The sequence below is a fragment of the Homo sapiens genome, chromosome 9 (genome assembly GCF_000001405.40).
Source record: "Homo sapiens chromosome 9, GRCh38.p14 Primary Assembly".
In the NCBI taxonomy this organism is placed as follows: domain Eukaryota; kingdom Metazoa; phylum Chordata; class Mammalia; order Primates; family Hominidae; genus Homo; species Homo sapiens.
Genome location: NC_000009.12, coordinates 36,457,897 through 36,470,511, shown reverse-complemented (window position 1 = coordinate 36,470,511; position 12,615 = coordinate 36,457,897). Strand labels below are relative to the sequence as shown.

Genomic DNA, 12,615 nt, shown 5'->3' with positions numbered 1-12,615 from the left:
TGTCACACACACAACATACTCTTGTCTAACTAGGGCATGCAGTGCTGTTTTTCCCACAGGATTGGTAAGTGATAGATTCATATTCAAAGAGAGAAAAACCACTGCTCTTTCAGTGGGCCTCCCCTACTTCCCATTCCCAGAAACCACTCAGACACTGTGTGGATGGGTGCGAAGCATTATGGATTGGGGCTTATGGTTTGTGGCCCTGAGGTAGACCAGGGGGATCTTGTTAAAATGCCGATTTCTGGCAAGGCATCAGGTGATGGTGAAGAAAGTTTTGAGTACCAGGAGGTAGAGTAGTGGTTCTTAGACTTTAAAAGCTGGACACCCCCACCAGTGCTTTTGATTCACCTCACTGGGTGGGGCCTGCAGATTTCATTTTAAACAGGTTCCTAGGTGATGCTAATGCACATGAAGGGCAGGGTGTGTTCTGAGAGCCACTGTGGTGGAGTAGAAACAACCGAGGAGAATCAAGCCCATCCATCTCATCCTGGCTTCTTGAGCATTATTTCCTTTTTCTTTGTTTTTGTTTTGAGACAGGGTTTCACTCTGTCACTCAGGCTAGAGTGCAGTGGCATGATCCTGGCTCACTGCAGTCTCGATCTCCCCAGGCTCCAGTGACCCTCCCTCCACAGCCTCCCAAGTAGCTGGGACTACAGGTGGGTGCCACTACTCCCGGCTAATTTTTTGTATTTTGTAGTAGAGACGGGTTTTCGCCATGTTGGCCAGGCTGGTCTCAAACTCCTGGGCTCAAGTGATCCACCTGCCTTGGCCTCCCAAAGTGCTGAGATTACAGGTGTGAGCCACCGCACCAGGCTTTGAACATTATATATATTTTTTATTTTTTATTGAGATGGAGTTTTGCTCTTGTTGCCCAGGCTGGAGTGCAATGGCGCCATCTTGGCTCACCACAACCTCCACCTCCCGGGTTCAAGCAATTCTCCTGCCTCAGCCTCCCGAGTAGCTGGGATTGCAGGCATATGCCACCACGCCTGGCTAATTTTTTGTATTTTTAGTAGAGATGGGGTTTCTCCATGTTGGTCAGGCTGGTCTCAAACTCCCGACCTCAGGTGATTCGCCCACCTCAGCCTCCCAAAGTGCTGGGATTATAGGTGTGAGCCACTGTGCCTGGCCCTTGAACATTATTTTCTAACTGAACTGAAAATAGTGGGGGAAAAAAAAGATTGAACAAAGTAGTAGAGTAATACCATTCATGTTAAATGAATAGCACTCCATAAAACACTTCTCTGTATTTTACTGTGATATGTCTCTCTCTCTATATAGAAAGGGCCAACAGTAAACCCCACCTAACTGATAACAAAGATGATTACTTCTGGAGAGAAGGATCCAGGATTATGGAGGGTGGGACTTCAGGTTTCTGTGTAAGGTTTTACTTTTTTGAGATGGACTCTTGCTCTGTCGCCCAGGCCAGAGTCCAGTGGTGCGATCTCAGCTCACTGCAAGCTCCGCCTCCTGGGTTCAAGCAATTCTTCTGCCTCAGCCTCCTGAGTAGCTGGGACTACAGGCACCTGCCACCATGCCCAGCTAATTTTTGTATTTTTAATAGAGACAGGGTTTCACCGTATTGGTCAGGCTGGTCTTGAACTCCTGACCTTGTGATCCACCCGCCTCAGCCTCCCAAAGTGTTGGGATTACAGGTGTGAACCACTGTGCCTGGCCTAATTTTTTTTTATTTTTTGAGACAGAGTTTTGCTCTTGTTGCTCAGGCTGGAGTGCAGTGGCATGATCTCGGCTCACTGCAACCTCTGCCTCCCAGGTTCAAGCAATTCTCATGCCTCGGCCTCCCGAGTAGCTGGGATTACAGGCACCCGCCACCACACCTGGCTAATTTTTGTATTTTTAATAGAGACGGGGTTTCCCTATGTTGGTCAGGCTGGTGTCAAACTCCTAACCTCAAGTGATCCACCTGCCTCGGCCTCCCAAAGTGCTGAGATTATAGGCGTGAGCCACCACGCCAGGCTCATGTATTTAATTTTATAAAAAGTTAAAAGAAATCTGGGCTGGATATCTTTTCTTTACCTCTCCAGATCCATCCTCTACTCTTTTCTACCTGGCTCTTTGCCCCAGATAAAGAACTCTTAGGCCCTCTGGATTGAAGGGCCAGAGAAGGAGGTCAGAATATTTATCCCTTCACCTCTCAGGGTAGCATGTATTATATACCTGGATTCTGCGTTCTGGTAATCTCTGTCTCCTATCTTCTTTGGCACTTCTAGAAGCAATACTTGTTCTGCCTTTTTTTTTTTTTTTTTAAGACAGAACATTGCTCTGCCCAGCAGGCTGGAGTACAGTGGTGCGATCATGGCCCACTGCAGCCTTGAGCTTCTGGGCCCAAGCAGTCTTCCCACCTCAGCCTCTTGAGTAGGGACAACAGGCGTGCGCCACCACAACTGGCTAGTTTCTAAACATTTTTTGTAGAGGTGGAATCTTGCTGTGTTTCCTAGACTAGTCTTGAACTCCTGAGCTCACTCAGTCTTCCCACCTTGGCATCCCAAAGTGCTGGGATTACAGGTGTGAGCCACTGTTGCTCAGCCTTGTTCTGCCTTTACTAGTCCTGATTTCTGTTCCATCCCCATGGTTTCTGTAGCCTCTATTCCCCTACTTTGTAATTATTTCTTTTATAAACAAACCCTTCTCAGATTATTCTGATTTGTATTTGCCATCTCTTTACTTTTGGGACCTGACTGATGGACCCTCCATTCTTATTCCTCTCCCCACTATAATCCCAGAGGTGGTAACAGGTACCATTTTGGTGTGTGTCCACAAATTACCTGTGTGAGAGGCGCAGGCATTTGTGTATAGAGATGATGCATGGAAGTGTACATTAATTGTTGAAAAAGCTATAGTGGGTTTTATTATTGCTGCTAATGGTGTTATTATTGGTAGTGATGTTATATCCCAAATGGCCTGACCCACCCAGTTAGTGACTCTTGAAGCAGAGAGCAGCAGAATCATAATCTGACCTCCTTATTGTCATATTGAGGAAACAGGCCCACAGAGGGCTAGGCTCTTCTCTCAGGCCCCATAGCTCAGAGCTGCAGCCTCCTTGCACTGGGCTGTTTTCTCTTGCTGCATAATTACTCTCCTTAATTAGTGATATTCAAAGTATTTTGAATATATACTCTGAAAATCTTGAAAAATTTTAAGTAGACATCTAATTTTTTTCATAATTTTAAATAGTTGGAAAAGATAATTTCACTATTACTGTTACCCATATATGTATGTGTGTGTATATGTGTGTGTGTGTGTATATATATATATTATATATATATATATGTAATAGCAATCAGATTAGTTGCAGTTGTTTTTTTTTTTGAGACGGAGTCTCGCTGTGTCGCCCAGGCTGCAGTGCAATTGTGTGATCTCGGCTCACTGCAACCTCCACCTCCTGGGTTCAAATGATTCTCCTGCCTCAGCCTCCTGAGTAGCAGGGATTACAGGCGCGTGCCACCACGCCTGGCTAATTTTTGTATTTTTAGTAGAGACGGGGTTTCGCCATGTTGACCAGGCTGGTCTCAAACTCCTAACCTTAGGTGAAACTGCCTGCCTCAGCCTCCCAAAGTGCTGTGATTACAGGTGTGAGCCACCGCAACTGGCTGTCTTTATGCCTTTTCAAATTTTTTTATAAGTAGACATTATTGTCTTCTGATTACAAAAATATACATGGCAAAATTTAAAATGTTATAGAAATGTATATTAGAGAAAATAAAAGTTCCTTTATTTGAATCCTGCAGAGGTCAGTGAGGATTGGATATGTGTATATTCATGTAGTGTTGTGTATAAATTTACAAAAAGTGGGACCATAGTATATATATTGTTCTGAAACTTGCTTTTTTCCCACTTTATAATAATGTTGGGTCTCTTTCCAAGTCAGTATTTATAAATTTATTTTTTGAAACATTTGTTTGACATACGAAATACGTATAGAAACATTCATATCTTGTAAGTTTGCAGCTCAATGAATCATCATAGTGTGAACCCACGTGTGTAACTACCAAGCAGGTCAAGAAATAAAATACTAAAACTACGCTTTATGAGCCTCCCATTGTGCCTGCTACCTCATTCTTAACAGCTTTATCGAAATATAAATTTACATATACAATTTACCCAAATAAAGTATACAATTAAGTGGGTTTTGGTGTATTCACAGTTGTGTAACCAGTACCACTATCTAATACCAGAGCATTTTCATCTCCCTGAAAAGAAATCCTCCACTCATTGGCAGTCACTCTCCATTTCCTCCCATCTCAGTCCTAGGCAACAGCTATCTACTTTCTGTCTCTGTAGATTAGCCTGTTCTGGACCTTTTATATAAATGGAATCATACAATTTGCACTTTTATGAACAGTACTGGCTTCTTCCACTTAGAATAGATAGTATTTTCAGGTTCATCTATGTTGTGACATGTATCAGCACTTTGTTACTTTTTTTTACTTTTTCACGAGACAGAGTCTCGCACTGTTGCCCAGGCTCAAGTGCAGTGGCCCGATCTCGGCTCACTGCAAGCTCCGCCTCCTGGGTTCACACCATTCTCCTGCCTCAGCCTCCTGAGTAGCTGGGACTACAGGTGCCTGCCACCATGCCCGGCTAATTTTTTTTGTATTTTTAGTAGAGACGGGGTTTCACCGTGTTAGCCAGGATGGTCCCGATCTCCTGACCTCGTGATCCACCCGCCTCGGCCTCCCAAAGTGCTGGGATTACAGGCGTGAGCCACCGCGCCCGGCCAGCACTTTGTTACTTTTTGTAGGTAAATATTAGTTGTATAGGTGTATCATACTTTACCCATTCATCAGTTAATGCACATATGGATTGCATCCTATTTTGGATGATTATGAATAATGCTGCTATGGGCCGGGTATAGTGGCTGATGCCTGTAATCTCAGCACTTTGGGACGCCAAGGCAGGCGGATCACCTGAGGTCAGGAGTTCGAGACCAGCCTGACCAACATGGAGAAACCCTGTCTCTATAAAAATATAAAATCAGCCAGGCGTGGTGGCGTATGCCTGTAATCCCAGTTAGTCGGGAGGCTAAGGCAGGAGAATCGCTTGAACCTGGGTAGTGGAAGTTGCAGTGAGCCGAGATTGTGCCATTGCACTCCAGCCTGGGCAACAAGAGCGAAACTCCATCTTGAAAGAAAAAAAAGAAAAAAAGAATGCTGCTATGAACACTTGTGTACAAGTTTTTACATGGACATATATTTTTATTTCTCTTGTGTAAACACGAACCCACCCCTATGTAGGAGTAGAATTACTGGGTCAAATGGAACTCTAAGCTTAACCTTTTGAGGAACTGCCGTGCTGTTTTTTAAGGTTGTTACACCATTTTATATTCCCACCAGCAGTGTACGAGGGTTCTAATTTCTCCACATTGTTGCCAACACTTGTTCTCTGTTATCTGTCTTTTTGATTATAGCCCTCCTAGTGGGTGGGAAGTGGTATCTCCTTCTAGTTTTGATTTGCATTCCCCCCATGGCTAATGATGTTAAGTATCTTTTTGTGTTATTGGTCCATGCAGATTTTAAGAAGGCTTTTAAAATTCTCTGTCAGAGGCAGAGCACTAAATAGTATCTTTTTGAGTCCTCATAATTGTAAAACAAGCATTTTAGTACATTTGCTTTCTTTACTTTTTTCTTTGCAAATCTGGAATTTTATGTTATCTTTATATATTACATATTTTTGGAAATGATTTTTAAAAATGTTCCACACAATTATGTAGCCAGATTGATCACAGTTATTTAGATTTATCTGTATTTTAACTTGTTTTGCCATTTCCTTCCATTCTTAGCTATACAGTGTATGTATATTAATTTATTGGGTGAATATTGCAGTTTCCAGGATTTGTGTTTTCACAGTTTGTTTAGGGTTACATGAGTAGATATATATGACTGATAATCTGATACAAATATGATTTTTTTTTTTTTTTGAGACGGAGTCTCACTCTGTCACCCAGGCTGGAGTACAGTGGCGCGATCTCAGCTTACCACAACCTCCGCCTCCCAGGTTCAAGCAATTCTCCTGCCTCAGCCTCCTGAGTAGCTGGGATTACAGGTGTGCGCCACCACACCTGGCTAATTTTTTTTTGTATTTTTAGTAGTGACAGAGTTTCACCATATTGGCCAGGCTGGTCTCGAACTCCTGACCTTGTGATCCGCCTGCCTTGGCCTCCTAAAGTGCTGGGATTACAGGCGTGAGCCACTGCGCCCGGCCTAAATATGATTTCAAATTATAATTAAGGCTTGCATTTCATCTACATAATGCAGAGCTTTGATCTTGTCAGAAATTAGAAGATAATTTTTTTTGTGTGGTTTTTTGTTTGTTTGTTTGTTTTTTGAGACAGAGTCTTGCTCTGTCGCCCAGGCTGGAGTGCAGTGTCGTGATCTAGGCTCACTGCAATCTCCACCTCCCGGGTTCACGCCATTCTCCTGCCTCAACCTGAGTACCTGGGAGTACAGGTGCCTGCCACCACGCCCGGCTAATTTTTTGTATTTTTAGTAGAGACAGGGTTTCACCATGTTAGCCAGGATGGTCTCTATCTCCTGACCTCGTGATCCGCCCGCCTCGGCCTCCCAAAGTGCTGGGATTACAGGCGTGAGCCACCGCACCTGGCCTAAGATAATAGTTTTTGGTCACTTATTTTTCTGAGGACAAAAGAGTAAGTGTGAGCTAGGGAGTTTGCAGAGAAAAATAGCTTAGTCTCTTCTTGGTGATTAGAGAGATGATTAGGGAAATTAAATAGACAGACTGGAAAGCATGGTTCAATTATTTGGAAGAATTACCTAATCCCAGTGCACCATACATACTTGCCTTTGTTCAAATGTAATATGTACATATCTTTGTATTTGTGTGATTCATCAGTACCATTGCCCCCTTCGTGACCACGTCTTTGCATTATTACAAATGATTTTTTTTTTCTAGTGTACCTTGCTTTACCCAAAAGGTAAACAGTTCATATTGAAAATTGAATGGAAATGCTCTTGAATTTACAAGGAGACACCCAGCAGAATGGCATAATTGTGAGTTTTTCAAGGCCTACGTTTAGATCATTGAAGAACTAGTATTCTATTTCATGGATCCAGAAATGAGACTTTCCTGCATTCCTGTGAGTGATCAGACTCATATTATCTAAATAACAGAAGGCTTGTATCAAACTGAAAGTGCCAGTTTATTACTTCATAATGTGCGGGGCCTTTCTCCTGACTTACATGCAAGAAACAAATGAGTGTCTACTGTGTACCAGGCCTACATACTGGCTACACAGTAGTGAACAAAAGCAGGTAAAACCTCTACTCTTATGAAGCTTACATCCTCATGATGTGAGACAGACAGTAAGCATAAATATGCCATAAGGATGATAAGTGGTAAGAAGAAAAACAGATCAGGGTAGGCCAAGATAAGCAAAGAATGAAAGCAGGTGCTATTTAAATCACTTGACCAGGCTGCTCTGCCTATGGAGTAGCCATTCTTTATTCCTTCACTTGCTTAATAAGCTTGTTTTCACTTAAAAAAAAAAAAAGTAAATCAGGGCGGGGTACAGTGGCTCACACCTGTAATCCCAGCAGGGGAGACTGAGGCAGGCAGATCACCTGAGGTCAGGAGTTGGAGACCAGCCTGGCCAACATGGTGAAACTCCGTGTCTACTAAAAATACAAATATTAGCCAGGTGTGGTGGTGCCCGCCTGTAGTCCTAGCTACTCGGGAGGCTGAGGCACGACAATCACTTAAACCTGGGAGGCGGAAGTTGTGGTGAGCTGAGATCATGCCACTGATCTCCAGCCTGGGCGACAGAGCAGGACTCTGTCTCAAAAAAAAAAAAAAATCAATCAGTTGGTCAGAGAAAGCATCATTGGTGCAGTGACATTTGAGCAGAAATTCGAAGGAAGTTAGGCATCAAGCTGTTTTAAGTGCAGAAGCCCTGACGCAAAAGTGTGCTTGCTGTATTCCATGAACAGGAGTGTTCAGAGGTAAGATGGTGACCTTCTAGACTATTAGGGATACTTTGTTTTTGACCTTTGTTCTGAATGAGATGAGATCACTGAGCAGAGGAGTGGTGATATATGGTATGACTTCCCTTCTAGGATCTTTCTGGCCGCTGTGCTGAGAATGGGTTGTAGGAGGGTAAGGATTGAAGCAGGAAAAGCAGTTGGAGGCTGTTACGGTAGAGCAGGAGAGAGATGAGGTGATTTACCTGCATCTTGGTGATAGTTGGGAAGTTTGCTAAGTTGCATACAGGCTGGTTGGTGTATAGTCAGTCACCCTTCAGCCCTCTTTGACTTAATCCTTTATTCCAGTTCCCTGAAACTGCTCTGCCAAGGTCATCCATAATGGTGGGTTGCCAAACCAGTGGATATTCAGACCACATCTTACTGCATCTCTTACCAGAGTTATCCACGTAATTTATCCTCTTTCTTGGATCCCAGCCTGTTGGCTTCTGTAATCTCATAATCCTTGTTTTCCTCTTACCTTTGCATATACTTTTTGCCAACCTCTTTTCCCGGTCACTGCATGTTTGAGTTCCTCAGGGCTTGGGCCTGTTTCTTCATCTCTCTTCTGTGTTTTCTGGATGATAGCATTTGTTCCCAAGGATTTAAATATCATTTATGTGCTGAGAATCCCCAAATTTGTATTTTATAGGGAGTTCATACTTCACATGTCCAAACTGAAATTATTATCTGCAAAACTATTTCTCCCCTTAGTTTTTTCCATCGGAAATGCTTAAACCAGGAATCTAGGAGTCATTTTTGGCACCTTTGTTTTTCTTACACACCACTCCCCACCACATTCTTGTCCTTTCCAGCACATCTCCAGAATGTATTTTGTATTGTTTCACCTCTTTTCACTGAAGCTATCCCATCTCTCCCCCTGAACTGCCACAGTAGCCTTTCAGCTGGTCTTCACACTTGTCTGGTCTCCAATTTTTTTCTCTGCATAGCAGCCAGAGAAAGCTTTTGAAAGAATGGGTCACATGGTTACTTAAACTATTCAGTGGCATCCCATTGCACTTGAATTTACAGTTTTTCCTGTCTCTTCCAGGCTGTTTTCTCTGCATAGAACACTCTTGTTCTACCCTTTGAGTACTCAGCTCCTTCTCATCCCTGAGCTCTCAGCTTTCTTCTGAGGCCTTCCTTGACTACTCAGTCTAAAGAAGGTTTTACCTCTCTGCTCTGTCATTGTATTCTGGTTTTCTTTTTCCTTTATAGCATACAGCTTACCACTACTCATTCATGGCTTTAACATCCCTGACCCAGAGTTTTTGTTTGTTTGTTTGTTTGTTTTGAGATGGAGTTTTGCTCTTGTTGCCCAGGCTGGAGTGCAGTGCAGTGGTGCAGCCTTGGCTCACCGCAATCTCCGCCTCCCAGGTTCAAGCAATTCTCCTGCCTCAGCCTCCCAAGTAGCTGGGATTACAGGTGTGCACCACCACACCCAGCTAATTATTGTATTTTTTAGTAGATACGGGGTTTCCCCCATGTTGGCCAGGCTGGTCTTGAACTTCTAATCTCAGGTGATCCACCTGCTTTGGCCTCCCAAAGTGTTGGAATTACAGTTGTGAGCCATCGCGACCAGCCTCCTTTTTTTTCTTTCTTTCTTTCTTTTTTTTTTTTTTTTTTTTTGAGAGAGTTTCCCTCTTGTTGCCCAGGCTGGAGTGCAATGGTGCAATCTCGGCTCGCTGCAACCTTCACCTCCTGGGTTCAAGCGATTCTTCTGCCTCAGCCTCCTGAGTAGCTGGGATTACAGGCATGTGCCACCACGCCTGGCTAATTTTGTATTTTTAGTAGAGATGGGGTTTCTCCACGTTGGTCAGGCTGGTCTTGAACTCCGAACCTCAGCTGATCTGCCTGCCTTGGCCTCCCAAAGTGCTGGGATTATGGGAGTGAGCCACCGCGCCTGGCTCCTTTTTTTCTTTATATGTGTGAATGTCACTGATTAAGCTAGTTGCTGCTTCCAGTCCATTAAGTGTTCTGGGACTAGGAAAAGTCTGTTTCCCACCACTGTGCATTGATTTACCTTACTTTCTGGATCAACCCTGTTCTTGGTGATGGGGTCGGGGCAGGCACTTGCACACACACACTTAATGTTACCTCCATTTACTCCAGTATGTATATGTATGATAGTTTGGCTAAACCACTATAGATAAAAGCTTTTTATTCCTGCTTTTGAATTTCCTGTTTGTTGTGTAAAGTTTAAATTAGTCTATGCCTTCCTGTGGTCACTTATGCGAGAGAAGTAAACCATCAGTTGTGCCAATAAATTAGATAATTGGAATTTCTAGTATATTTATTGCTCTTTACTGTTTTTAATCCTCAACGTCTTGTAGGCAACATTCTTAGTATCTTCTAGGCAGTTGATCATAAGCTTAAGAAACCACAAGAAAAATGTTTTTAAAGTTACATTTGTGATCTCTAATTGGGAGCACTGATTTTGGCCCTAAGTAGGGTTTTTAGATATTAAGAAGCATAGTTTTGGTGAATGGATTTAATTTTCTGTCGTTTAAGTTAGAAAAACATTCGTTTGCATTAAGTTAAAAAATTTTCTCTTATAGTATTGGATAGCAATAGCCTAAAAATGCATAGGTGTAAAATACAACAATGTTACTAATCGCCACAGAGTATCTTGTATGCACAGATTTCTTGACTCAATAATCCTTTCTCAATTTTCTTTTGGGAAAACACTAAAATCAGTTAAAACTGATTTTCAGTATTGTACATGACAGTAGAAGATGGAAATGAAAATAAACTTTCCTAAAATCCGCAAGTCTCTGAAGTGAAAATAGTATTTAGTGGTGGTAGAAGGAAAGCAGGATTTCTTTGTAAGCACTATACAATAATTAGAGTTAATATTTTATGTAGCCTGTGATGGAGTATGTACACACATACACATACTCTTCTCTTGCACACTCACATATCCAGGGTGTTAAATACAAAGTAATTCTTCAGTGTCAGAAAACACTAAGGGGATTTGTGTTCACAGCTTATAAAATTGTGATAATGGATTTATTCTCTAAATACAAAATACTCAGTGTACCAAAATGAAGGCAATGCCCTATCCCTAATGTTTGACAGAGAGATTTTTGTTTTGGACAAATAAAAGGAGTAAATGCCTTAACACAGGTTACTGAATTAAGTATACCCAGGAAGTGTTAGTACTAGTTGAGATAAAGTAATTTCAGGGAGTGTTTTTGCTGAAAGGCCCTTTACCCTAGAGATTCCCCCAGAACATTTCTGTCCCTTTCCCAGTCTTTTCAGTGTGTAGCTGTGGAGGGCAATCTTTATCTTTCTTTTTTTTTTTTTTTGAGACAGAGTCTCGCTCTGTCACCAGGCTAGAGTGCAGTGGTGTGATCTCGGCTCACTGCAACCTCCACCTCCTGGGTTCAAGTGATTCTCCTGCCTCAGCCTCCTGAGTAGCTGGGATTGCAGGCCTGCACTACCACGCCCACCTAATTTTTGTATTTTTAGTAGAGACAGGGTTTCACCATGTTGGCCAGGATGGTCTCAATCTCTTGACCTCGTGATCTGCCCACCCTGGCCTCCCAAAGTGCTGGGATTACAGGTGATCCACCGCGTCCAGCCAGAGGGCAATCTTTCTGTCTTACAGAATGTCTTGATGGTCTGTGGTTAAGACACCAAATGTGGCGATATGTTGGTCAGGATATATAGTGGACTTGTCTCTCTGTCTTGTGACTGGTGAACTTATGGTTTCTCAATATTACTGTGTCTGGAATTTATTCCTTCCGGTGTGTTCTTGATTTCAAGAATGAAGCCGCGGACCCTCGCGGTGAGTGTTACAACTCTTAAAGATGGTGTGTCCAGAGTTTGTTCCTCCAGATGTTCAGATGTGTCCGGAACTTCCTTCCGGTGGGTTCGTGGTCTCACTGACTTCAGGAGTGAAGCCGCAGATCTTCGCAGTGAGTGTTACAGCTCTTAAAGGTGGCACGTCAGGAGTTGTTTGTTCCTCCCGGTGGGTTTGTGGTCTCGCTGACTTCAGGAATGAAGCCGCGGACGCTTGTGGTGTGTGTTACAGCTCATAAAGGTAGTGCAGACCCAAAGAGTGAGCAGCAGCAAGATCTACTGTGAAGAGCAAAAGAACAAAGCTTTCACAGCGTGGAAGGGGACCCAGGCGGGTTGCTGCTGCTGGCTCGGGTGGCCAGCTTTTATTCTCTTATTTGGCCCTGCCCACATCCTGCTGGTTGGTCCATCTTACAGAGCACTGACTGGTCCATTTTACAGAGTGCTGATTGGTGTGCTTACAATCCTTTAAACACAGAGCGCTGATTGGTGCATTTACAATCCTTTAGCTAGACAGAAAAGTTCTCCAAGTCCCCACCCGACCCAGAAGTCCAGCTGGCTTCACCTCTCATTACTACTATATTGAGGCTCTGCATTCCAAAAGCGTTGGTGTATGTGAGGAGAGGCAACCTTTGTTGTGTGTTCTGCAACCATCAATGGACTGCCTTACCTCCACAGCTTGAAAGCTTTGTTTACTTAAAGCAGGATTCTGAACCTTTTTGGCATGATGGTTCTCTTTTGAGGATCTGATAAAAGCTAGGGCTCTTCTCAACCTAACACATGCACAAATGCACATACATTCTGAATTTTGTGTACA

The 12,615-nt window shown here is 43.1% G+C and overlaps 1 protein-coding gene across 8 annotated transcripts in view, besides 2 other annotated features; it reads left to right on the top strand.

The window, feature by feature from the left end:
- Window positions 1–12,615, top strand: part of RNF38 (ring finger protein 38) — a 151,270-nt gene that overhangs the window by 17,158 nt on the left and 121,497 nt on the right. The window lies entirely within an intron of this gene.
- Window positions 11,620–11,709: an enhancer, noted in NCBI's record as "active region_28352". NCBI's record gives its function as "activates an Ori minimal core promoter by ATAC-STARR-seq in GM12878 lymphoblastoid cells {active_cell/tissue: GM12878}" and the evidence as "EXISTENCE:reporter gene assay evidence [ECO:0000049][PMID:35858748]".
- Window positions 11,840–11,909: an enhancer, noted in NCBI's record as "active region_28351". NCBI's record gives its function as "activates an Ori minimal core promoter by ATAC-STARR-seq in GM12878 lymphoblastoid cells {active_cell/tissue: GM12878}" and the evidence as "EXISTENCE:reporter gene assay evidence [ECO:0000049][PMID:35858748]".